The 24,627-nt window shown below is 54.8% G+C and overlaps 2 protein-coding genes and 1 long non-coding RNA gene across 14 annotated transcripts in view, besides 3 other annotated features; 1 reads left to right on the forward strand and 2 right to left on the reverse strand.

The window, feature by feature from the left end:
- Positions 137-256: an enhancer, noted in NCBI's record as "active region_14992". NCBI's record gives its function as "activates an Ori minimal core promoter by ATAC-STARR-seq in GM12878 lymphoblastoid cells {active_cell/tissue: GM12878}" and the evidence as "EXISTENCE:reporter gene assay evidence [ECO:0000049][PMID:35858748]".
- Positions 182-23,595, forward strand: LOC124904747 (uncharacterized). Its single transcript, XR_007067300.1, has 3 exons — positions 182-235; positions 20,431-20,562; positions 22,825-23,595. It is a non-coding gene; the product is annotated as an uncharacterized LOC124904747 (long non-coding RNA).
- Positions 367-3,865, reverse strand: ASPDH (aspartate dehydrogenase domain containing). Of its 6 annotated transcripts, NM_001114598.2 has the most exons (7): positions 2,536-2,677; positions 2,036-2,180; positions 1,691-1,775; positions 1,425-1,574; positions 1,124-1,344; positions 900-1,054; positions 367-537 (listed from the first exon to the last, which is right to left on the reverse strand). In NM_001114598.2, exons 1-7 carry the CDS (start codon positions 2,585-2,587, stop codon positions 494-496), a joined length of 852 nt encoding a protein of 283 aa, NP_001108070.1. In that variant the 5' UTR covers positions 2,588-2,677; the 3' UTR covers positions 367-493. The 6 variants fall into 6 exon arrangements, with proteins under 6 accessions (NP_001108070.1, XP_047295017.1, XP_047295019.1 ...); XM_047439061.1 differs by lacking the exons at positions 2,036-2,180; positions 2,536-2,677 and adding an exon at positions 3,255-3,865; XM_047439063.1 differs by lacking the exons at positions 2,036-2,180; positions 2,536-2,677 and adding an exon at positions 3,242-3,448.
- Positions 560-1,149: an enhancer, noted in NCBI's record as "H3K27ac-H3K4me1 hESC enhancer chr19:51015053-51015642 (GRCh37/hg19 assembly coordinates)". NCBI's record gives its function as "activates a minimal SCP1, AML or CMV promoter by ChIP-STARR-seq in primed H9 embryonic stem cells {active_cell/tissue: H9 hESC(primed)}" and the evidence as "EXISTENCE:reporter gene assay evidence [ECO:0000049][PMID:30033119]".
- LRRC4B (leucine rich repeat containing 4B) overlaps positions 5,656-24,627 on the reverse strand; it is a 51,544-nt gene continuing 32,572 nt past the window's right edge. For all 7 annotated transcript variants that reach the window (NM_001080457.2, XM_006723506.4, XM_011527520.4 and 4 more), the window contains one exon: positions 5,656-8,179. In NM_001080457.2, coding sequence (NP_001073926.1) covers positions 6,335-8,179 — 1,845 coding nt within the window. In that variant the 3' untranslated portion in view covers positions 5,656-6,334. The remainder of the gene's footprint in view (positions 8,180-24,627) is intronic.
- Positions 23,416-23,505: an enhancer, noted in NCBI's record as "active region_14993". NCBI's record gives its function as "activates an Ori minimal core promoter by ATAC-STARR-seq in GM12878 lymphoblastoid cells {active_cell/tissue: GM12878}" and the evidence as "EXISTENCE:reporter gene assay evidence [ECO:0000049][PMID:35858748]".

A 24,627-nucleotide genomic window follows, 5' to 3' on the forward strand; every position in this document is an offset into this window, starting at 1 on the left:
CAGCTCCCGGTGATCCCCGCGCGCCGGACTACGACTCCCGTGGGGCCCCGCGGGACTCCTGCTCCACACGGAACGCCCGGGCCGCGTGGCCCTGAAGTCGGCCGTCGGGCCTAGGAAATGCCGCACTACAACTTCCGTCGGGCTCCGCGGCAGGTCCCGGAAGTGCGCCTCAGAGGCCCTTCTTTCGCATACGGCCGCGCCCACTACTGCTCAGAGATTCTAGGAAACTTAGTAGGTAGGCTCTCGCGATAGCTTCCTGGCGCCGCGCTCTCATGGGTGCTCGCCCCCGGCGATGGCGTCATGCGCGGTGCGCAGACGCAGCGTGACGTCACACAAGGGAAAGGGATCAGAGACGCCAGGCGGTGCGGGGGGAGGCAGCGGTGATCTTTACTGAGTCAGAAGGGAGACCCTGGGGAAGTGGGGCAGGGCAGGGGTGGGATGGTGGTGGTGAGAGGCCAGGCAGATGATCTTGTCTCGGGAGGGAGGAGGCTTCTCAGCAGAGATGGATCCCCGGCCTGGAGGGGAGCTGGCAGCAGGCTGCGGGGAGAGGGGAATGAGCGAATGAGACAGAGGAGAGATGAGGAGACAGACGCCTGGGGGAGGCAGTGGTGGGAGGAGGGGACAGGGCAGGGGGGCGGTGGAGGAAGACCCGGAGAGAGCGGGACAGAGCCCTGGGGGTGGACAGAGACAGAGAGAGTCTCGATCAGAGGCGGGCACAAATGGAGACATCTACAGTGCCAGGATTCAAAGTCATGGAGAGAGGTTAAGGAAATAAAGGTCAGAAAGAAAGAAAGGTCAACAAATACAGAACCAGAACTGCAGAACTAGTGAGAGCCCGGGACCCCCAAGCTCTGCAGAACACAGGAGCCCAGGGCCGGGGGAGAGGGGCCTGGCCGCACCCAGGAGGCTCTGCCAGAAGGCCGTGACGGTGGCGGAGCCGGTGACCGCGCCTGGCTCGGCAGGGTTCTCTCTGCGGGTGTGCACAGCAAAGCTTCGGCCCGTGGGGCCCCGGGGTCCGCTCAGCTCTACATCCACCACGTGCATGTCCGTGAGGCTGGGACAAGAGGGGCAGTCAGTCTGGAGAGCCTGGACTCAGCCCAACACCCTGCTTAGCTCTGCTCACCTGGTATCAGCCACGAGCACCCCAATCACCCCATCGAAGCCCAGGCTGGGGGCAGCCAGGGCAGCCGCCGCCATGGTGTTGGAATTTCGCGGGGCAAAGGGGCAGAGCCCACGGACAGGGCCTTCGTAGAGCACAGTGCAAGGCCCAGGGCTGTGGGCTGCAGCCAGGGGTCCCTCAAGCCGGAAGCCATCGGGGTGTGTGGCCATGGTGACACGAAGGCTCTGGAAGCAAGAGCCCGGGTTAGGGGGAGTGGGGTCTTTGCAGGCCTCCCCTGGTTCCTGGGGAGCCCAGCAGGCCTCACCCGGAGGCCCCCAGCTGCATCCAATCTCCTGATGTCCTCAGCGCCCCACAGGGCCCCTCGGGCCACAAACACGGCGTGGTCCCAGTGCTGTGAGGCCTCCAAGAGCTGCCGCTCTGTGGTCTGGTCACTTAGAGCTGAGGGGGACCCCACCTGGGGTGGATGAAGGAGGGGAGGGTTGAGGTCAGGGAAGGATATCCACTTCAGGGTGGGGTGAGACCAAGACAGAAGGGGCAGGGCTCTGCGTAAATGGTTGGGGTGGGGCTTACCAGGAGATTGGCATGGCGCAGGATTTGTGCCCCAGATTCATGGATTATTTTGGGATGGGCCACTTCCACAACCAGATCAGGGCGCCTGGGAGAGGGGAAAGAGGGCGGAGGGTCTTGGAGAGGTATTAGGCCTCTTCTCCCCAAGGTTCCCTCCGAGTCTACTGAGGGCTGCCCTTCTTCTCCCTGACCTGGGAGGCGAAATGAGATGAATGGGTTCGTCCTGTTTCACATTTGCTTGAACCAAGGCCCAGAGAGGGTCAGGGAACCCCTGAGATCACACAGTGGCTAAGAGAGCCAGGACAGGAGCTTCAGGGAGCTCCACTCTCCCATGGCAAGGTCACTGACCTTTCCCCAAGGGCAGCAAGGTTCTGGAGCTGCAGGGAAGGGGGCACGCTCCCTGCCATTCGTCCTGGGTCACGATTCCAGACAAAAACAAGTTCTAGGCCAAGTTCTGGTCCCTGAGCCAAGAGGCGGGAGACGAGGGACTGTCCTGGGGAGAGGGAAAGGAGAGGGCTAGAGATCCAGAGAGAGGGGGACAGAGACCCAGAGAGAGAGGAGGTGGGGACAGAGACCCAGAGAGAGAGGAGGTGGGGACAGACTCAGATTGCGGGGTAGGGAGACAGAGATGGGGGCAGGGCAGAGACACAGTGGGGTGGACAGAGGCCCAGAGAGAAGGGAGACAGAGACGGAGAGGACAGAGACCTGGGGTGGGGGTGCAGTGGGCAGACCCAGAGACACAGCCAGGGGCAGATAGAGAGAGAAAAAAGTGTTTGTGGAGGGCAGAGAGTCTTGGGAGCTTTAGGAAGGGGTTTGGGGAAGGAGGCCAAGGATGGTCAGGGACTCACCGAGGCGGCCATAGCCCACCACGCCCACCCTCCACGGGCCCCTGTCGGCCATGGCCCTGAGTGCGGTGTCTGGGGCCTGGCTCCCTGGGCTGCTCGCTGCCCGCTGCACAAGGCCTGGGCAGCCGCTGCTCTTTGGACATCTGACCCTTGAGCCTCTGGGCTCAGTCTTCCCCCTTCCCCGCAGGCCCAGCGTGGGGGCGTGGGCCTGCGGGAGTGGAGGCGGGAGAACCCTTCCCTGTGCTCTGTCCACTTTCCCGGGTCCAGCACAGTGAGCATGGTGACCGGGGGTTCTGGGAACCCTGCGTGCCCCCCTTTCCCCTGCAGCACACCCTCTTTCTCCCTGCTGATGTGGAAAGTTTCCTCTGCAGTCCCCTGCCCCCTCTCTGGCCGGCCAGGTTGTCATGGAAACTGCATCTTGCTTTGGGTTGGGAGAAGAGATGGTGACAGGGACTCTGGGCTCTGTCTGTCCCCTCGTGCTCACCTCTCCTCCTTGTCCTCAGGCGGCTAAGGTCTGAGGGAGGCTTCAGCCTGGCCGTGGCCCTAGCCCTCCCAGAGGCAGCGGGAGCCCTGGTTGTGGCTTCTCCTCAATGTGCCCTTGCCTCAGCGGGTCCAACCTCCCTAGCCCCGCTGCGCAGCACGGGTCCCCTTCCCACAGCCTCCGCCCCTGTCCACAGCCTCCCTCCGCTCTGATCATCCTTCAGTTCACCTTGACTTGCTACCTTTCACTCTGTCCCCCATCGTGCCACCAGCTGCCTCCAGTGTGACGTTCTCGCTCCCACGTCCGTCCCTCCCGTTCCCCAGCTCGCGTCAGCCCAGGAGAAGCCTTCGAGGCCTGGAGAGGCCAAGTGCCCCCAACATGAGCCCCAGCCTCTGTGCCTTGAGGGTGCCTGGCATCGGAAATGGCGCAGGCTGCGGCAGCGCAGGCTCCCTGCCCCCAGCCACCACCTGGTACCCGCTGCAGTGTTTCCATGGCAACCAGGATTGGCGCTGGAAGGAGGCTGGAGAGAAAGAGAGCGTGAACGGGAGCATGGGGTGGGGGGGGCGGGCACTGGGTGGCGAGAGCCCCAAGTTGACGGGAGGAGAGAGGAGACAGACGCGGGCAGACAGAGAGGGGCCAAGACCCCGACGTGGCACCCAAAGGCTGCCGCTGCTGATAAGGGAGGAATTGGCTTCCAGAGCCAGGAGCCCCCGGTGTGGGAGAGATGAGATGCCTGGGTGTAGACAGAGCCAGGAAGGGGGCAGGGGCCAGGCACCTCACGGAAGTGGGGGGCCTCCCGCCATCTCTACCTTCTGACTCCTGCTGGGGCCTGAGTGTCCCCATAGTGCCCATAGCTGCCGTGTACGGGGTACAGCCTGGGCCACTACGAGGGGAGAAGGGGGCTGGGCGCAGGCCTGTGTGTCCTCAGGGCTGTGTCCCCGAAGCCACCTCAGCGTGGGAAAGCACTGGAAGGCCCTGCATGGCTCCGTCCCTCCCTCTGCCTCCCCCAGCAGCGTGAGATGGCAGCCCTGGCCAGCCCCAGCCCTCCAGGGCCTGCAACTCGGGCACCTTGACCCCCCAAGAGACATCACCACCCCCTCCCCCAACCCACCCAACAGCTGCCCACTGTGCCAGCAACCCCCCAGCCAGGCCCGCTCAGGGTTTGCTCCCTGCCCTCCCAGGGCTCTGCTCCTGCCCTTCTGAGTGGCACTGTGGTGCCCCTGCCGCCCCAGGCCCACCCGATCCGGCCCTCCAGCCTCCCACTGAACCGGCCAGAAATACAGCTGCTGTGCCCCAGAGGCCGCAGGCCCAGCCTCCCGCTTGGCCTCCCTCCCCTTCGGCACCCCGTCCTCTGGAGCAGCCTTGAGGGGGTCTGCAGTGGAGAGACACACTCTGGATTGGGCCCTGTTGTGGGTTGAATTGTCACCCAGAAAGGGAAGCGCAGAAGTCCTGACCTCCAGGGCCTCAGAATGGGACCTTATTTGGGAATTGGGTTTTTGCCAAGGATGGAGCTGAGGTTATACTGGAGGTGGAGGCTCCTGGTCCAGTCTGACCTCTGTCCTTGTAAGAGGGGAGGTTAGGCAGGCTGCAGTGGCCCACACCTATAGTCCCGACACTTTGGGAGGCTGAGGCAGGTGGATCACTTGAGGTCAGAAGTTCGAGACCAGCCTGGCCAACATGGTGAAACCCCGTCTCTACTAAAAATACAAAAATTAGCTGGGTGTGGTGGTAGTCGCGTGTAATCCTAGCTACTCAGGGGGCTGAGGGAGGAGATTCGCTTGAACCTGGGAGGCAGAGGCTTCAGTGAGCTGAAATTGTGCCACTGCACTCCAGCCTGGACAACAGAGCAAGACTCTGTCTCAAAAACAAAGAAACAAACAAAGAAAACGGTCAGGCGCGGTGGCTCATGCCTGTAATCCGAGCACTTTGAGAGGCTGAGGTGAGTGGATCACCTGAGGTTAGGAGTTCGAAACCAGCCTGGCCAATGTGGTGAAACCCCATCTCTACTAAAAATACAAAAATTAGCCAGGCCTGGTGGCGCATGCCTGTGATCCCAGTTACTTGGGAGGCTGAGGCAGGAGAATCACTTGAAGCTGGGAAGCAGAGGTTGCAGTGAGCTGAGATCACACCATTGCACTCCAGCCTGGGCGACAAGAATAAAACTCCATCTCAATTAAAAAATAAATAAATAAAAGAGGGGGAGTTGGACACAGACGGACGCACACAGAGGGAAGAGATGAGAGGCTACAGGGGCAGGCACTGGAAGACTGGGGTGATGTGATACAGCCACCAGCCAGGACAGCCTGGGGACACCAGAAGCTGGCGAGGCAGGAAGCTCCCCTGAGGTATCCCCAGGTTTCAGAGAGAGCGTGGCCCTCCCTCCAGCCTCCAGAACTGTGGGACGATAGATTTCCTTTGTTATAAGTCTCCACCTGGGTTTGGGTGTGGTGTGGCGGTGCTGGGGGAGGAGTTTAGGAAGAAAGGGAATCAGACCTTCTCTGGGGTCTCCAGGGTGAAGGCTGAGGGGCCTAAGACCACCCGGAGGTGCCCCGTGCCCACCCTCCCGACGGAGCTGCGAGGCTGGCTCTCCAGCCTCTCCTTCCGCCCCCACCCACATTCACTTTGTTTTCTCTCCTCCGTGCTTTCATGACCAAAAAAAATATTTTTTTACTTTTTCCATGTTTTTTTTTTAAAGTAATTACAGAGCAGGTAGTCGTTGACGCAAACCTCCCTTCAGTATCAAAAGTGTCTGTGGGGCAGGTGGGGCTGGGGCGGGTGGAGGCTCCCCCCCGCGCCGACGACAGGGACCGCCGGCCGGGAGCAGAGCCGGGCGCTGGGACGGGAGCTCTGGCGACGTGTCCATCTCTTCAGTTTTGAGGGCGGAGGAGTGGGAGGGAGGGACGGGCGTCAAACTGCAAAAACTGAACCGTAAAAGGAAGGTGTTTGGGGCCGAGGGGAAAGGACACCCCTGGAGAAAGCTCCTCTCTCCCCTGGAAGGCGGCGGGCCCGGAACGCTTGGTGGGAGAGCGAGGAGGAAACGCGGAGAACTCAGGCCACTTCTCCTGGGTCCCACGTCCCCTCCCGTCACCGGGGATTGGCGGGGGTGAGGCGAGGATCCCAGAGACTCCGCTCCTGGAGCCCCACCCTGTCCTTACTGGGGGTCCGAGCCCCAGATGGGGCTGGAAGCCACCTCTCCCCAATTCCCTGCGTGGTCCCAGAAGGTGGGCTGGGCTGTGGGAGGGAGGGGTCCCGGTCAGGCTGCGCCCGGGCTGGGACCTGGGTGGGGGGCTCCACGCCCCTCGCCCGCCCGGCCCCGCCGCCTCAGATCTGCGTCTCTTGCACGTTCTCCTTGGAGCCGCTCTTGAAGAGCAGAGGTTCGTGGATGGAGTTGAGGCCAGGCGGGCCTTTGCCCCCGCAGCCCCCGCCGCTGGGGTTGCTGCTGTAGTGCGCCTTGAAGGCGGCAGCCACGTAGTGGTGGTGGTTGAGGTGGTCTCGCTCCAGGGCGGGCAGGGCCAGGTGGCTGTCCCCGCCCACACCACCCCCACTGGCCACGGCGGCCGCGGCGGCCACGGACACGGCCGAGGCGGCGGGCAGCTCGTCCTCCACGTTGATGATCTCCACGGTGCGCGTGGGCCCGTGGTGCTTGTGGAGCTGGTGCTGCTTGCGCAGCTTGTAGAAGGCCACGAGCATCACCGCGGCCATGAACGTGATGGCCACGAAGCAGCCGATGATGATTTTGGTGGTCTTCATGACGTCGTCCAGGTCCTTGAGGGCGTTCTCCGTCACATCCGTGATGGGCACCGTGAACGCCTTCTCCGTGGGCCGCGAGGAGCGCGGGGCGGGTGCCGTGGTAGAAGACGAGGCAGGGCCGGCCGCGTCCCCAGGCCGGCCCCCACCCCAGACACCGTCTGTCGTGGGCCCTGGCGGTTCCTTCTCCGTCCCCCGCGGCTGCAGGGCCTCCTCTCCGGGCTGCGTCTCCAGGGTCTCCACGGTCACCGTGGTGAAGTAGGTGTAGCCGCCACTGCCCCCTCCAACACCACCACTGCCCCCAGGGCCGCCCCCGCCGCTGCCGGTGCCCCCGGCCGCCACGGGGTCCACGGCCGAGACGTTGAGCGTGGCCGAGGCGGTGGTGTTGCCGGCTGAGTTCGTCACCATGCACGTGTACTGGCCCGTGTCCTGCACGGTGACGTTGGTGAAGTTAAGCGTGCCGTCATGCAGGACGGAGATGCGCACGCGGTAGGAGCCGTGGGTCATGAGGGTGCCGTTGGGCGTCAGCCAGTTGACGGAGGTCATGGAGGTGCCCGTGCGGCATTTGAGCTCGGCAGCCATGCCCTCGGTGACGTTGAGGTCCGTGGGCGGCTCCACGATGACGGGCGCATAGCAGGTGAAATGCGACTGGTCCAGCTCCCCAATGTAGCGCCCCTTGAGGCCGGCGGGCGCATGACAGCGGGCGCAGCACGTCGTGTTGCTGGGCACCGTCTCCTTGAGCCACCAGCTCAGCCAGAGCACGTCGCAGTTGCAATGCCAGGGGTTGTGGTTGAGGTGCACGCGCTCGAGGCGGTGCAGGGGCGTGAAGAGGTCGTGGGGCAGCGACATCAGGTTGTTGTGGGACAGGTTGAGCTCCTCCAGCGACTTGAGGTCGTCGAAGGCGTTGCGCTCGATGGTGGCTACCTGGGCGTGCATGAGCCACAGCTTGCGCAGGCTGGTGAGACCCTGGAAGGAGCCCGGGCGGATCAGGTCCAGCCGGTTGCCCGACAGCTCCAGCTCCTCCAGGCGCACCAGGGCCGTCAGGTTGGGGATGTCCTTGAGGTTGCACATGCCCAGGTTGAGGTAGCGCAGGTTGACCAGCCCCTCGAAGGCCGCCTCCGAGATGTATTCCAGCCGCTTGAGCTCGCCCAGGTCCAGGCGCCGCAGCGAGGGCACGCGGTTGAAGGCGTAGGAGGGGATGCTCTCGATGGGGTTGTTCCGCAGCCAGAGCTCCCGCAGCTTGGACAGGTACTCGAAGGCCTGCGTGGGCACCGTGGTCAGCCGGTTGTCAAAAAGCTCCAGCGTGTTGAGGCTGGGCAGCCCGTTGAAGGCGCCCACCTCGATCTTGCGCACCAGGTTCTTGCTCAGCTGCAGAATCTCCAGGTGCCGCAGGTGCTTGAACGTGTCCGTCCGGATCACCTGGGGAGAGGGAGACACGGATCAGTCACGGAGATACTGACGGGGACCGTGGGGGGATCACCAAGGTCCCGGGCGCAGGTGGGGCCGTGTGGCTGGATCTCCCGTGCTGTGCTGTGACGGTACGACCTATATTGCAACATGGTTTGATGAGTTTCTTATAAAGTTAAAACTGGAGTCAAGGCTGGGTGTGGTGGCTCACGCCTGTAATCTCAGCACTTTGGGAGGCCGAGGCAGGTGGATCACTTGAGGTCAGGAGTTTGAGACCAGCCTGGACAACATGGTGAAACCCTGTCTCTACTAAAAATACAAAAATTAGCCAGGTGTGGTGGTGCGTGTAATCCCAGCTACTCGGGAGGCTGAGGCACGAGAATCACTTGAACCCAGGAGGCGGAGTCTGCAGTGAGTCGAGATAGTGCCACTGCACTCCTGCCTGGGCAACAGAGCAAGACTCCATGTAGAAACAAACAAAAAAACTGGATTCAAGAATTTTGGGGGACCAAGCACAGGGGTGGCTCATGCCTGTAATCCCAGCACTTTGGGAGGCTGAGGTGGGCAGATCACTTGAACCCAGGAGATCAAGATCAGACTGGGCATCAGAACATAGACCCCATCTCTACAAAAATAAAATAAAATAAAATAAATTAGCCAGGCGTGGTGGCATGTGCCTGTTGTCCCAGCTACTAGGGAGGCTGAGGTGGGAGGATTGCGTGAGCCTGGAAAGTGAAGGCTGCAGTGAGCCCTGATCACGCCACTGCACTCCAGCCTGGGCAATGAAGTAATACCCTGTCAAAAAAAAAAAAAAAAAAAAAAAAAAAAAAAAAAAAAAAAAAAAGAAGAAAAGAAAAGAAAAATGAACAAACAAGAAAATGAAAAAAAGAGAAAAAAAGATAGTTACTTAGAAAGTTAAAACTGGAGTCAAGAATTTTGGGGACGGCCAGGCATGGTGGCTAATGCCTGTAATGCCAGCACTTTGGGAGGCTGCAGTGGGTGGATCACCTGAGGTCAGGAGTTCGAGACCAGCCTGGCCAACATGGTGAAACCCCGTCTCTACTAAAAATACAAAAATTAGCCAGGCGTGGTGGCACATGCCTGTAATCCCAGCTACTTGGGAGGCTGAGGCAGAAGAATCACTTGAACCTGGGAGGCAGAGGTTGCAGTGAACTGAGATTGTGTCACCACACTCCAGCCTGGGTGACAGAGTGAGACTCCGTCTCGAAAAAAAAAAAAAAGAATTTTGGGGGCCAGGCACAGTGGCTTATGCCTGTAATCCCAGCACTTTGGGAGGCCAAGGTGAGAGGATCACCTGAGCGCAGAAGCTTGAGACCAGTCTGGGCAACATTGGGAGACCCTGTCTCTACAAAAAGAATTTAAAAAGAAATATAAAACCAAGAATTTTGGGATTGAAGAGGAAAAAACTTTTGAAAAAAAAGTTAAAACTGGAGTGGCCATCCGACCCGGCTGTTCCATTCCTGGGTATTTCCTCAAGAGAAATGAAGGCAGATGTCCACGCAACGGCTTCTATGTGGGTGTTCACAGCATTTTTTTCTCAGGACTGCCTAAGCTGGAGACATCCCAAATGTTCCTCAGCAGGTGAATGGACAAACACTGCGAGGTGTGGCCGTGTAAAGGATGCTGCGGCTCAGCCATGAAAGGGACCTGGCTGCTGTGACCCCCTGGATGAATCTCTCAGCTCAGCCATGAAAGGGACCTGGCTACTGATGACCCTCTGGATGAATCTCTAGGGGGTTACACTGAGCAAAAGACGCCGAACACAAAGGAGCCGGTGCGGTGGATCCGTCCACACCATGCTCTGGGTGTTCTAAGTGTGCGTCTCTGCGTGTGTGGGCAGGTGAGGTATCTGGGGCAGACAGGGAAGGGCATGAGAGAGCTTTCTGGGGTGATTGAAAGGTGCTACATTGGCGTGGTGGTTACATGACGGAAAGCGACTGTTAGGACTCCCCAAACTACACTTAAAATGAGGATATTTTATTCCATGCCAGTGATACATTATTTTATTTTATTTTATTTTTGAGACAGAGTCTTGCTCTGTCACCCAGGCTGGAGTGCAGTTGCACAATCTCGGCTCACTGTAACCTCCGCCTTCCAGGTTCTAGCGATTCTCCTGCCTCAGTCTCCCAAGTAGCTGGGATTACAGGGTCGTGCCACCACGCCTGGCTAATTTTTGTATTTTTAGTAGAGATGGGGTTTCACCATGTTGGCCAGGCTGGTCTTGAACTCCTGACCTCGTGATCCACCCGCCTCAGCCTCCCAAAGTGCTGGGATTACAGGCGTGAGCCACCGTGCCCAGCCAATTTTGTATTTTTAGTAGAGACGGGGTTTCCCCATGTTGGCCAGACTGTTCTTGAACTCCCAATCTGAAGTGATCTGCCTGCCTTGGCCTCCCAAAGTGCTGGGAAATTACAGGCGTGAACCACCGTGCCCGGCCACTATACATAGTTTTAAAAATGAAAAAAATAAGGCTGGGCATGGTGGCTCACAGCAGTAATCCCAGCACTTTGGGAGGCCGAGGTGGGAGGATCACTTGAGCTCGGGAATTGAAGACAATCCTGGTCAACAAAGCAAGACCCCTGTCTCTACAGACAAATACGAAAATTAGCCCTGTGTGATGGCATGCACCTGTGGTCCCAGCTACTCAGAAGGCTAAGATGGGAGGATCGCCTGAGCCCAGGAGGCCAAGGCTGCAGTGAACTGTGATCGTGCCACTGAGCTCCAGCCTGCGTGACAGAGGGAGATCCCGTCCCCAAAATAAATAAATAAATATACAAAATGAAAATAGTAATACCAGCAACTAAGACACATTGAACACATCTTTGGTGCCAGACACTGTTCTAAACATTTTGTGGGTAATAACTCTTTTAATCCTCCAAACTGCCCTGTGAGATGGGCACTATTACCAGTCCTTATTCGATACCTGCAATTCCAAAATTCTTAAGGCCCTAACAATCAGATTTTTCCAAACTTTGACACCAAATCCCACTTGGTGGCAAAACCCGATCAGAACTCATGTGAAGCTATTTTATTTATTATTTATTTATTTATTTATTTATTTATTTATTTTGAGATGGAGTCTCGCTCTGTCGCCCAGCCTGGAGTGCAGAGGCGTGATCTCGGCTCACTGCAACCTCTGCCTGCCGGGTTCAAGTGATTCTCCTGCCTCAGCCTCACAAGTAGCTGGGATTACAGGCACGCATCAACACGCTTGGCTAATTTTTTGTATTTTTAGTAGAGACAGGGTTTTGCCATGTTGGCCAGGCTGGTCTCGAACTCCTGGCCTCAGGTGATCCACCCGCCTTGGCCTTCCAAAGTGCTGGGATTACCGGCGTGAGCCACCTCACCCAGCCACATGAAAGTAAAGCTTTTATTGATCCCACTCGTGACTATCCAAACATTTCATTCTAGAAATTCCCATGTTTCAAGACCACTAAGATATTATAAAACCTATACTATCTATTACTATGTTTCTAATATCGGAATGTCAAAACGCATCAGACCTCAAGAGTTTCACACGAAGGATGATGAATTAGGCCCAGGGAGGTGCAGTGACTTGCCCAAGGTCACACAGAAGTGGACAGCAGAGTTGGGACTGGATCCAGGCCCTCTGGTTCCAGAGTCCTGGCTCTTGACCTCTGACCCTGGCTGCCGCCTCTCAGGGCTGGAGCTGGGGTCCACGGGAGGGGCAGTGCTGGGTCAGAGCACGGGAGGCAGGAGCTCACAGGGTCCTCACTACTGATGACCACGCCGGGTGCACTGAGGCCCAGAAGGCCACACAGCCATTGGATCATATCTGCAAAGCCCAGATAGTGGTGTGTGCCAGGGAGAAGGGGACGGACACTGGGGGAATGCGGTGTTACAGTATTAACGGAGGAAACTGAGAACCTCAGATGCATCCTGTGTCATCACAAAGAAGCTGAAGAATTAGGTATCAGAGTATATGCACCAAAAGAAAAAAGAGAAAAAGAGGCCGGGCGTGGTGGCTCACACCTGTAATCCCAGCACTTAGGTAGGCCGAGGCGGGCAGATCAGTTGAGGTTGGGAGTTTGAGACCAGCCTGGCCAACATGATAAAACTCCGTCTCTGCTAAAAATACAAAAATTAGCCGGGGGTGGTGGGGGGTGCCTGTAATCCCAGTTACTCGGGAGACTGAGGCAAGAGGGAGGCGGAGGTTGCAGTGAGCCGAGATCGCGCCACTGCACTCTGGCCTGGGCAACACAGTGAGACTCCATCTTAAAAACAAAAAAGAGGCCGGGCATGGTGGCTCATGCCTGTAATCCTAGCACTCTGAGAGGCCAAGGCAGGTGGATCACCTGGGTCAGGATTTCGAGACCAGCTTGGCCAACATGGCGAAACCCCATCTCTACTAAAAATACAAAAAATTAGTCAGGCATGGTGGCAGGTGCCTGTAATCCCAGCTACTTGGGAGGCTGAGGCAGGAGAATCTCTTGAACCCGGGAGGCGGAGGTTGCAGTGAGCCAAGATCGCCCAGTTGCACTCCAGCCTGGGTGACAGAGTGAGACTCTGTCTAAAAAAAAAAAAAAACTGGAAGGACATACTCCAAGCTTTTCTTAGTAGTGAACTTTATCTGTTGGGAATTATGGACAATTTTTATTCTTGTGTGATATTTTTTCCTCAATGAGGAAAAATTACTTTTACAGTAAGCAGGAATAAAAACAAAACCAAACCCAGATATACCTGAGAGGCAAACAGCGTAAGAAATGGTAGAATCTGTGGCATAGGCAGAATCATAAAATAATAATAATGTATGTCGGTGCTGTCCAATAGAAATAGAATGTGAACACGTGTGTAATGTTTGTTTGGTTGTTTTGTTTTAAGACAGAGTCTTGCTGTGTCACCCAGGCTGGAGTGCAGTGGCGCAGTCTCGGCTCACTGCAGCCTTGACCGTCTGGGCTCAAGTGATCTGCTCGCCTCAGCCTCCTGAGTAGCTGGGACTACAGGCACGTGCCAGCACACCTGGCTAATTTTATTTTATTTTAATTTTTTGTAGAGATGGGGTCTCCCTATGTTGCCCAGGCTGGTCTCAAACTCCTGGCCTCAAGCGATCCTCCCGTCTCAGCCTCCCAAAGTGCTGGGATTATAGGTGTGAGCCACCACACCCAGCCCACATGTGTAATTTTAAATTTCCTAGAAGCCACATTGAAATAATAATAAAGAAAAAACCAAACAGGTGAAATCAACTTTACTAATATATTTATTTAGCTCAACAGGTCCAAAATACTCTCATTTGAACCTGTCATCAGATGCAAACTTGCGATTGAGCCATTTTACACTCTTTATGGTGGAGCTTCGAAATCCAAGGAAACCCAACATGTGTTTTACACCCAGGGCGTCCAGGGCACCTCTCAGTAGCAACGCATGCAGTCCCCGAGCCCAGCCAGCAGCCCCGATGCTGGCGGCTGCCCTGTGAGATGCTGCGGGTTTACTCGGTGCCCAGGGACGCTCTGTGGACACAGTCACCTTTTGTCCATCCAGCAGCCCTAAGAACAAGGACTGTGATCGCCCCGTTTTAGAAAGGAGGAAACAGGAGCCTAAAGAAGTGGCTTGCTCCATGGCAGAGCTGGGCAGGGCTGGCCGGAGCCTGCGCCCCTCCCCGTCTCGCTCGGCCACCTCACACCCACCCATCGCCGTTCCCCGTGGACAGACACGGAAACAGAGGTCACGGGTGTAGTGTGAAGAGCAGAGCCCTGTTCAAATCCCGCCTCCCCCGTCCTGGTTGTAGGGCCTGTCACTTGAGCTCTCTGTACCTCTGGGCTCACTCTTACCACGAGGAGGATGATGAAAAGCACTTCAGAGGGTGAGGGAGAGGAGATGAGGTCCCAGTGTTCAGGGGTGCTCAGCACGTCGTCATTCTCATTGTTATCGTTATCGTTGGCGTTGAGAAACTTGTACCATGCCCTTGGGATTACAGCCCTGAGCCGTCCACTGAAAGGCGGCTCTTAGGGCCAAGAACCGTACTTTTTTTTTTTTTTTTGAGAGGGAGTTTTGCTCTTGTTGCCTAGGCTGGAGTGCAATGGCGTAATCTTGGCTCACTGCAACCTCCACCTCCCGGGTTCAAGTGATTCTCCTGCCTCAGCCTCCCAAGTAGCTAGGATTACAGGCGTCCTCCACCACACCCGGCTAATTTTTGTATTTTTTTTTTTTTTTTTTAGTAGAGACGAGGGTTTTATCATGTTGGCCAGGCTGGTCTTGAACTCCTGACCTCAGGTGATCTGCCCAACTCGGCCTCCCAAAGTGCCGGGATTACACACGTGAGCCACCCTCCCCGGCAAGAACTGTCTGACTGCATCCTTTCCCGCAGAAAATCAGGGCCGCCCCCATCCTGGCCCCCTGTCCTCCGACTCCCTGTTCCAGCCTCTCCTCTCCATGCCAATGGCCCCAGCTGCACCTCAGCCCTCTGCCTCTCCCACCAGGCCCTAGAAAGGTCTGTTTAGGCAGGGCGCATGCCTGTAATCCCAGCTATTTGGGAGGCTGAGGCGGCAGAATCGTTTGAACCCAGGAGGCGAGGTTGCGGTGAGCCGAGATAACGCCATTGTACTCCAGCCTGGGTAACAAGAGAGAAACTCAGTCTCAAAAATAAAATAAAATAGAAGTCTGTTTATACCCACAGATCCCCTGTCCCTCCCCTGGGCCCTTCACAATCCTCCCAGGACTGCCCGTCAGTCCCAGCATAAGACTCTCCCATGCCCCGCTGTGCTGCCACCAAGGCGACAATGACAGTGAGAGCCCATAAGACACAGTCTCTGCCCTGGAGCAGCTCATCCGCCTGGCACCACCTTCTCCTTCCTCCTCTACTTGTTTCCCCCACCTCCTGTTCTGGCAAGTCCCTGAGCCCAGCAGACACACTCTTGCCTCTGGCCTTTGCACCTTTCCTGCTTTTTTCCTGGATACCTCCCTGCATCTGTCCTTCAACACCTAGTTCCAGGGTCACTTACACAGGAGGATGTCCTGGTCCCGTCTCCCCACCCCAGTCTGGTCAGGGATCCCCGGGGCTGGGTTCCCTGGAGCCCAGAGTCCAGGTGCCTCCAGGGAGGGCAGGGACTGGGTCCCAACCACAGGGCGTCTTGCGCAATGAAGGACTCCACCGCCTCAGAGTGAAAAGGATAGACGAAGGATAGGCGCAGTGGCTTACGCCTGTAATCCCAGCACTTTGGGAGGCCGAGGCAGGCAGATGACTTGAGGTCAGGAGTTCCAGACTAGCCTAGGCAATAAGGTGAAACCGTGTTTCTAAAATTAAAAAAATTGTTAAAAAGTAATATATACTCATTTAGGAAAAAATGTATGAGAAGAAAATAAAAATTGGCCAAAATACATCTACCCAGAGCTAATTTATGTTAATCATTTGGCACATCCTTCCAATTTTTTCTATGCATATTATGCAGGGATATATTTTTTCATTATCTTTTACTTTTTTTTTTTTTTTGAGATAGAGTCTCACTCTGTTGCCCAGGATGGAGTGCAGTGGCACAATCTTGGCTTACTACAACCTCTGGCTCCCGGGTTCATGCAATTCTCTTGCCTCAGCCTCATGAGTAGCTGGGATTACAGGCACACGCCACTACGCCCGGCTAATTTTTGTATTTTTGTATTTTTTTTTTTTTTGAGACAGAGTCTCGCTCTGTCACCCAGGCTGGAGTGCAGTGGCACAATCCCGGCTTACTGCAAGCTCCGCCTCCTGGGTTCACGCCATTCTCCTGCCTCAGCCTCCCGAGTAGCTGGGACTACAGGCACCCGCCACCACTCCCAGCTAATTTTCTGCATTTTTAGTAGAGATGGGGTTTCACTGTGTTAGCCAGGACGGTCTCGATCTCCTGACCTCGTGATCTGCCCGCCTCAGCCTCCCAAAGTGCTGGGATTACAGGCATGAGCCACCACGCCCGGCTGTTTTCTTTCTTTTTTCTTTTTTTTTTTTTTTTTTTAGTAGAGAGGGGGTTTCACCATGTTGGCCAGGTGGTCTCGAATTTCTGACCTCAAATGATCCACCCGCCTCAGTGTCCCAAAGTGCTGGGATTACAGGCATGAGCCATTCATTGTGGCTTGCTTTTTTACAAAATTTTGATGATACAATATACTTGCCTGGGTCCTGCATTTCCCCTTAATAACATTGTGAGTATTTTCTTACATCATGAATAGTGCTTCAAAGACATGATATGAACGGCCCTCTAGAGTACTGGCCCACGGCTATACCTACGTATGGACATTGATCTGTAATTGACAGGGTGATCTTTCCTTTTCTTTCTCCTTTCTCTCTGTCTCTTTCCCTCCCTCCCTCCCTCCCTCTTTCTCTCTTTCTTTTCTTTTTTTCTTTTTTTTTTTTGAGTCTCGCTCTGTTGCCCAGGCTGGAGTGCGGTGGCACGATCTCAGCTCACTGCAAGCTCCGCCTTCTGGGTTCAAATGATTTTCCTGCCTCAGCCTCTGGAGTAGCTGGGACTACAGGCACGCACCACCACACCCGGCTAATTTTTTGTATTTTTAGTAGAGACGGGGTTTCACCGTGTTAGCCAGGATGGTCTCGATCTCCTGACCTCGTGATCTGCCTGCCTCGGCCTCCCAAAGTGCTGGGATTACAGGCGTGAGCCACCGTGCCTGGCCCTCTCTCTCTCTCTTTCTTTCTGACAGGGTCTCCCTCTGTCACTCTGGCTGAAGTGCAGTGCTGTGATCATAACTCACTGCAGCCTCAACCTCCTGGGTCCCAGTGATTCTCCCACCTCAGCCTCCCAAGTAGCTGGGACTAAAGGCACACACCACCATGCCTTGCTAAGTTTAAAATTTTGTAGAGATGGGGTCTTGCTGTGTTGCCCAGCCTGGTCTCAAACTCCTGGCCTTGAGCAATCCTCTTGCCTCAGCCTCCCAAAGTGCCGGGATTACAGGTGTGAGTCACTATGTCTGTGCTTGATTTCTTCTTTCTTTTTTTTAGATGGAATTTCACTCTGTCGCCCAGGCTGGACTGCAGTGGTGCGATCTCAGCTCACTGCAACCTCTGCCTTCTGGGTTTAAGCAATTCTCCTGCCTCAGCCTCCCGAGAAGCTGGGATTACAGGTGTGCACCACCACGCCCAGCTAATTTTTGTATTTTTAGTAGAGACAGCATTTCGCCATGCTAGCCAGGTTGGTCTTGAACTCCTGACCTCAAGTGATCTACTCGCCTTGCCCTCCCAAAGTGCTGCGATGACGGGCGTGAGCCACTGCGCCCGGCCGATTTTTTTCTTAATAGGCTTCTGCCTTGTCTAACTTCCCAGAGTGAACATGGCTAGCTTTCAGAACTGAATGAGACCTCCGTGAATGCTATTTCACAGGCAGGAGGGTGTGAATGTATTTGCAGGGAGCTGGTGGGGGCTCAGCCTGCAGGACACAGCCTGAGGATGGGCTCGGGCAGGCCTTGTGGGGCAGGGAGAATGGCGGAGTACAGCAGGAATGCCTCTGCAGGTGCGGGTCCTGAGGGTCATTTGGGTCCCAAGCCGGCCTGGGGTCTCTGCACCCAGCCGGAGATGCGACTGTGCCTGGGCATGAGGCTGGGGGCTGTGGGCATCGCCTGTCCAGGGCAGGAGAAGCAGGGGCTTGAGAATGTCTCTGGCCTGACTGGGCTAGAGCTCTAAAACTCCCCCCTCTGCCAGGGGACCCCCCCAGAGCTTGCATTTCTTCCTCAGAGAGAGTATCTGGGGAAGAACCCAACCTGGAGCTTCTCAGAGCCGGTTCTCAGAGCTCATTTCCCGGGACGCTAAACACCAACAGCAAAAAAACACTCTCTCATATCAATGCGTTAGGAGCCTGCACACTCCCTCCCCGAGACTCCAGTGCACCTGGCGTGTTGAAGCTCCGTGAAGCCCAGTGGGAGACAGCGGCTTTGTTTTGCTCAACTCTAGTTTTCCCAAACATAATACACATGGGGCCCTTCTCACCAAACGCAGCTTATCACCTCCCTGGGAAATGCTGGTGATTGATAAAGCAGGCACTCGGTTGCTATTTCTATTAATAATAATAACATCAATAATAGTAACAGGAGGAGGAGGTCCCGGTCATCACTGATCGCTAGGCAGAGAATGAGGTGGACTTTAAAAGAAAGCCTGGACCAAGAGGCCGGACACGGTGGCTCATGCCTGTAATCCCAGCACTTTGGGAGGCCGAGGCGGGTGGATCACTTGAGGTCAGGAGTTCAAGACTAGCCTGGCCAATGTGGTGAAACCCCGTCTCTACTGAAAACACAAAAATTAGCTGGGCGTGATGATGCACGCCTGTAATCCCAGCTACTCAGGAGCCTGAGGCAGAATTGCATGAACTTGGGAGGAGGAGGTTGCAGTGAGCTGAGACTGCCACTGCGCTCCAGCCTGGGCAACAGAGTGAGAATCGTCTCGATAATAATAATAATAAATACAGAAAGAACAAAGGTATTGCTGGTCCATGTGCTGTCAAGAGCCCCCTGGAACTTTCCCCCTCTCTGGGTTACACTGAGATGGCCTGGGGCCCCCTTCATTCCCAGCAAACACTCTGTGCCCCACCCTCCCCTCCCTCCCTTCAGGGTCCCTTTTCTCAGTGGGCCCCCCCTAGCTCATCCTCCCCGTCCAAAGCGGGGCTGCGGCCTTGCCCGTGGGTCGTGGGTCGGCCAGCAGGGCCAGGTGGCTTCATGCCTTTTAATGCCTTGCAGCGCACTCCCCCATTTCCTCTCCATCCCCACAGCCCAGCCCCGCCTCATCCTCTCTCCCTGGGCCCGCCGCAGCCTCCTGCCTGGGCTTCAGTCTCTCCCCTCCAGTCCATCTCTGGGGTCCTGCTATGCCAGAGCTGACCCTGCCTCTGCCCTCCTCTAGACGCCTCCGGGGCTCCCCAGTGCCCTCGGGAAGTTCAGCCTGTATTGGAAGCCCTGCCTGGGCATCTGCCTTTCTCCCCATTCCCCTCTGCATGGCCCCTCACTCGCAGCCCTCACTCGGATACACGTTAGCCAGGATCAGTCCTTGGACCCTCTCGCCGGGCACTCCACCTTTGCACATGCTGTTCCCTCTGCTCAGGACGCCCTTCCCTTTCATCCACCGGGAAAGCTCCTGCTCACCCTCTTGAACCCAGCCCAAAGGTCTCCACTCATTCCCCCATTGCTTATTGATTGAATGGAGATACAGCAGGCCTGCAGGTGCAGAGGTGGAGAGGGGCCGTTGTCTGTGAAAGGACCTCACAACGTCAGCCTTGCGAGCTGCTCTGAAGGCTTGAGGTGAGACTCACTCCGCTCAGGGCTTGGCACCTGGAGGCGTGTGCTGGGCACAGGCGATGATGCCTTGCAGGGCACGTGTTGCTAGGCTCCTTTTTTGTTTTTTTTTTTTGAGATGGAGTTTCGCTGTTTTCACCCAGGCTGGAGGGCAGTGGCGCCATCTTGGCTCACTGCAACCTCCGTCTCCCAGGTTCAAGTGATTCTCCTGCCTCAGCCTCCCAAGTAGCTGGGACTACAGGCATGTGCCACCATGCACGATTAATTTTTTGTATTTTTAGTAGAAACCTGGGGGGGGGGGGTCTCTCTATGTTGGTCAGGCTGGTCTCGAACTCCCGACCTCAGGTGATCCACCTGCCTTGGCCTCTCAAAGTGCTGGGATTACAGGCGTGAGCCACCGTGCCCAGCCTAGGCTCACTTTTCAGAGAAAGAAGATGGCTCAGCGAGGCCACATGACCAGGAAGTGGCACAGCCAGGGTTTGAGCCCTGGGCCTCAGCCCCCTCCATGCCCACCTCCTGCCTGCAGCTCCCGGAGCCTCTGCGGCACCCCAGGCTCCTGCTGACTCCCCCGGCAGCCCTGGAGGTGAGCATCACACGTCATTTCAGAGACAGGAGACCAAGGCTCGGTGAAGTCAAGTGACTCAGCAGGGCTGCCGGTCCCGGGGAGCGTGCACCTGGGGCTCCAGCCCACAGTGTTTTCCAAGTCTCCTTGGTGCCTCTGGACAGAGGACCGTGACAACAGCGTGGCCACAGGCGGACAGCCTGAGGCTGCTCGGCGCTCAGCACGCAGTGACCCAGCTGCAGAGGGAAGGGGGTGTGAAGGGAGATGAAGGGACACTCCCAAAGGGAGGGGGTGGGGTCCCCCCGCCAATCACTTTAATAATGCAGTTGAGAACTGAGTGGAATGGGGGTGTTGCTGCAAAGGGAAGCCTGGTTTTGTTGAAACATGTGGCATAGGGCTGCTTTAAATAGGGAGTCTCTTTATTTTGAACAGAATTCCAGTCTATTCTGTCTCCTCTTCTCTGCAGAATGCCTGCTGAGCAGCCTCGTGGGGGATGGTTGAGGCTGGGTTTGAATCCTGGCTTTGCTGCTGACCAGCCTGAACTCCCTGGTGGCCTCGGGCAAGTGTCCTCACCTCTCTGAGCCCACTTTCCTCCCAGGTAGCATGGGGTTACTGTGATGCTTGGACAAGACAGTGAGCGCTTGGGATGAGACAATGAATGTGTGGGACATGGCGAGCATGCAGTAATAGATATTTTTTCATTGTTAATTCAGTTGATAATGATCATTAACACTGGTCCTGGCCAGCCACAGTGGCTCACGCCAGTAATCCCAGCACTTTGGGAGGCCAAGGCGGGAGGATTGCTTGAGCTCAGGAGTTCGAGACCAGCCTGTCCAACATGGTGAAACCTCGTCTCTACTAAAACAACAACAACACCCACCAAAATTTACCCTGGCGTGGTGGCACACTCCTGTAGTCCCAGCTACTTGGGAGGCTGAGGCAGGAGAATCGCTTGAACCCGGGAGGCGGAGGTTGCAGTGAGCTGAAATTGCACCACTGCACTCCAGCCTGGGTGACAGTGAGACTCTGTCTCAACAAAAACAAAAACAAAAACAAAAACAAAAAAACAAAACACTGGTCCTGTCTCTGGGCTTCCAGTTTCTCCCTCAGCATCTTTCCTCTACACTGGCTGTCAGAATGACCGGAAATGCAGTTCAGACCTTGCCACATCCCCACTCCCAGCCTCCCATGGCTATCACCCTCGACAAAGTGTCAGAGGCCCTTCAGAACCTGCCCTGCTGCCCTCTCCTTGACTCTAGCCATAGTAGGGAGAAGAGAGATGCATGGGGTTCCCTCTGCTTGCCACACTCTGTCCAGCCTCTCTGCCTTTGCACAGGCTCTGCCCCTTTTCTATACTGTCCTCCTCCTTGTTCTCTGGAAAATTCCAATTGCCTTCCTTGGAAAAGCCCTTTTTGACCCCTGGTCCCTCATCAGTCACACACACACACTCTCTTATTAGATCCCTATCGCAGTGACTATAATTTGGTTTCACACGTCTGTCTCCTTGTCTAGGCTGTGAGTTGGTGTGAGTAGAGACTGTGTTGGGGCGACTTCTGCATTCCCAGCACGCTATGCAAGGCCAAATTCGTGACAGACTTCGGCCAAGGTCTGCTGAGTAAACAGACTAGAGTGTCTAAGGCTCTTATTGGGGAACACCCTGGTTGTGCTGGTCCCTGTTTCCCTCACGCTTTTTGGCCTGGGTGATAATGCCAACATGTCAAAATCATGTTGACATCAATATGACAGAACTTGGGAACGGAAAAGCATTGGTGTTCTGCTTCCAACCTATTCTGCTTTTTACCTTCGTGTGCACGTCTGAGATCATTAAAGCTACATCACCTTTCTTGTGTTTGTCATCATTTTTACTTTCATGATTTCTGTCCTCATGTTTTAGGTATGTCTTTCGATTTTAAGTCAGTCTGAAATCCTTGTCTTTTAACTGGAAGTTTAGCTCATTTACATTTACTATAATTACTAATATATTTGAAATTCTTCCTATAATGTTATTTTGTGCTTTTTAATTGTCCTGATTTTTATAGCTTATTCTTTCCCCTTTCCTGTCTTCTTTGTATTGACTGAATTTCTTATGATTCCATTTCTTCTCTCTACTGTATTAGAATTTATATATTTTCTCATTATTTAGTGGTTACCCTTAAAATTTAACATGCATACCTAAAGACCAAAGCCAGTTAATTCTTCTCTTCTCCTCCCAAATAATACACAGACCAAAGACCAGTTAATTCTTCTCTTCTCCTCCCAAATAATACAAATACCAAAGACCAGTTCATTCTTCTCTTCTCCTCCCAAATAATACAAAGACCAAAGACCAGTTCATTCTTCTCTTCTCCTCCCAAATGATACAAAGACCAAAGACTAGTTAATTCTTCTCTTCTCCTCCCAAATAATGCAAAGCTGATCTCATCTCTGACTCTAAAACAAAGAGACATCCTGGTCAGCTTCCCAATAAGGTAAAAGGGGGGGAATCATAATTTGTTAACTGCCGATTATTGCCAGAGCTGTGCTAAATGCTCTGAGGTATGATCTCATTTAATCTTTGTGGAAATTCTGTCACATGGGGGTTATCAAGCACATACCCCTGCTCCCTTCATATCTGGTGGTTCATAGCTGAGAAAATGAAGGTTCAGAGAAGTAAAGTCACTTGTCCCCAGTCTCACAGGCTCCAAAGTTGCAGAACCAAGACTCAACGTCTCCTTCTCCTGAGCACAGACATGGGAGTCTCCACCACACCTACCCACCCTAAACTGAAACAGTTGGGCTGTCTGTGGGCTTCACAATGCTTTTTGAGCTGTGGGGCCCATTCATTCTTACATTACCATGTATTGTTTCGCTCATTTGACAGGTTATTTTTTGAGAGCTGCTATGTGTCAAGTGTCATACTGGGCTCTGGGGATCCAGCTGTGGACAAGACAGACAAAGCCCTGTCTTCCTAGATCCTGGCCTCAGAGAAGAAGAGAGACACTAAACAAAACAATTATGCCAACAATCATTTAACCAGCAAAGGTGTACACAGATCGTGGAGGCTGCCCTGGTTGCAGGGGGAGGCAGGCCTGGGGCCCCTCCAAGGCCTGATTTGAAACACCCTAGACCAGATCACCTCTGAAGTTGTGAGTGTCATCACCCTCATGGCCCTGACACAGAGTAGGATGGGCAAGGTGGGGATTGGTTCTTGACGCAGGTAAATCCTCCTGCCCCCTCACCCTAACATCTTTAGCCTGACGAAGATGTTGACATTTTGTCCTACAGTAGAGGACCTAGGCCTGGGGCCACCTCTGACAGCCACATAGCTGCCCACACTTCCAAGTTCCCTGGATCTTCAGCCCCCATCTGCTGAGCCCACCTCCACCTATGCTGGGCTCTGGGACAGATCTCAATGATGCAGATGTGAATCCGGCAAAGGGACGTGGCCCCCATCAATGACTGCCTTCTAACCCCGATGGGGACTTTCCTTTTATCCTGCAACTTGGCCTGTGTAGGGGGACTTTCCACTTTGGTTGTGGTAGGTAAATATTACTAAAGCTGAAAAAAATCCCACTGAGATCTGTTGGGGTTTTTAAGAAAATAAATTGTGAAGAAATTCCTTATTAAAAATGTAACTGTGGTAAGAAAACAATTAAGTGAACTGTTCATCTTAACATTATAAATTGTATTTATTTATATTTATTTATTTATTTGAGACAGAGTCTTGCTCTGTCACCAGGCTGGAGTGCAGCGATCTCAGCTCACTGCAACCTCTGCCTCCCGGGTTCAAGTGATTCTCCTGCCTCAGCCTCCCGAGTAGCTGGGATTACAGGCGCCTGCCACCACACCCAGCTAATTGTTTGTATTTTTAGTAGAGACAGGGTTTCACTGTGTTAGCCAGGATGGTCTCGATCTCCTGACCTCATGATCTGCCCGCCTTGGCCTCCCAAAGTGCTGGGATTACAGGCGTGACCCACCACGCCCGGCCTGTTTATTTATTTATTTATTTTTAAGACAGGATCTTGCTCTATTGCTCAGGCTGGAGTGCAGTGGCATGATTTCAGCTCACTGCAGCCTCCGCCTCCTGGGTTCAAGTGATTCTCCCACCTTAGCCTCCTGAGTAGCTGGGATTGCAGGTGCAAACAACCACACCAGGCTAATTTTTGTATTTTAGTAGAGACAAGGTTTCACCAAGTTGGCCGGGCTGGTCTCCAACTCCTGACCTCAGGTGATCTGCCTGCCTCTGCCTCCCAGAGTGCTGGGATTACAGACGTGAACCACTGCACTCGGCCTGTTTTTATGTTTTGAATATAATGAGTCAATCACAAAAGTTTAGCAAGCTTACTGTTGTTTGTGTGTGTGTGTTAATTTTTTTACATTCAGATTTTAAAAACCGTTATTTGTCACATCAACTGTCTTTATGATGACTTCTCATATTTCTTGCTTGTCCCTGAGACAAGGAACTTGTGCCTCCCTCTCCAACAGGGACTTCCCTGATGCCATGACTGGCAGCACTGCAGGGGCCGTTGTGGGCCCCTGATTCTCACACTGACCCGGCTCAGGCCTAGACGTCCCTGTCTCCCTCCTCCCATTCATCCTCCTGGGAGTGGCCTCCTGAGCCCTTCTGGGACCAGGCCCTGGCCTGGGTGGAAAGTCTGGCTGGATGGCTACCCGCCTCCCACCC

Source organism: Homo sapiens, chromosome 19 (assembly GCF_000001405.40).
Source record: "Homo sapiens chromosome 19, GRCh38.p14 Primary Assembly".
NCBI classification, from domain to species: domain Eukaryota; kingdom Metazoa; phylum Chordata; class Mammalia; order Primates; family Hominidae; genus Homo; species Homo sapiens.

What these genes read in the sequence shown, in the direction of transcription:
- ASPDH (XM_047439061.1), bottom strand. Translation starts at nt 3,865, where the DNA reads ATGGGCACTATGGGGACACTCAGGCCCCAGCAGGAGTCAGAAGGTAGA. An exon ending in ATGCAGCTGGGGGCCTCCGG is followed by an intron (nt 1,345 to 1,424) that starts GTGAGGCCTGCT and finishes TCTTGCTTCCAG; the next exon opens with AGCCTTCGTGTCACCATGGC. An exon ending in GTGCTCGTGGCTGATACCAG is followed by an intron (nt 1,055 to 1,123) that starts GTGAGCAGAGCT and finishes CTCTTGTCCCAG; the next exon opens with CCTCACGGACATGCACGTGG.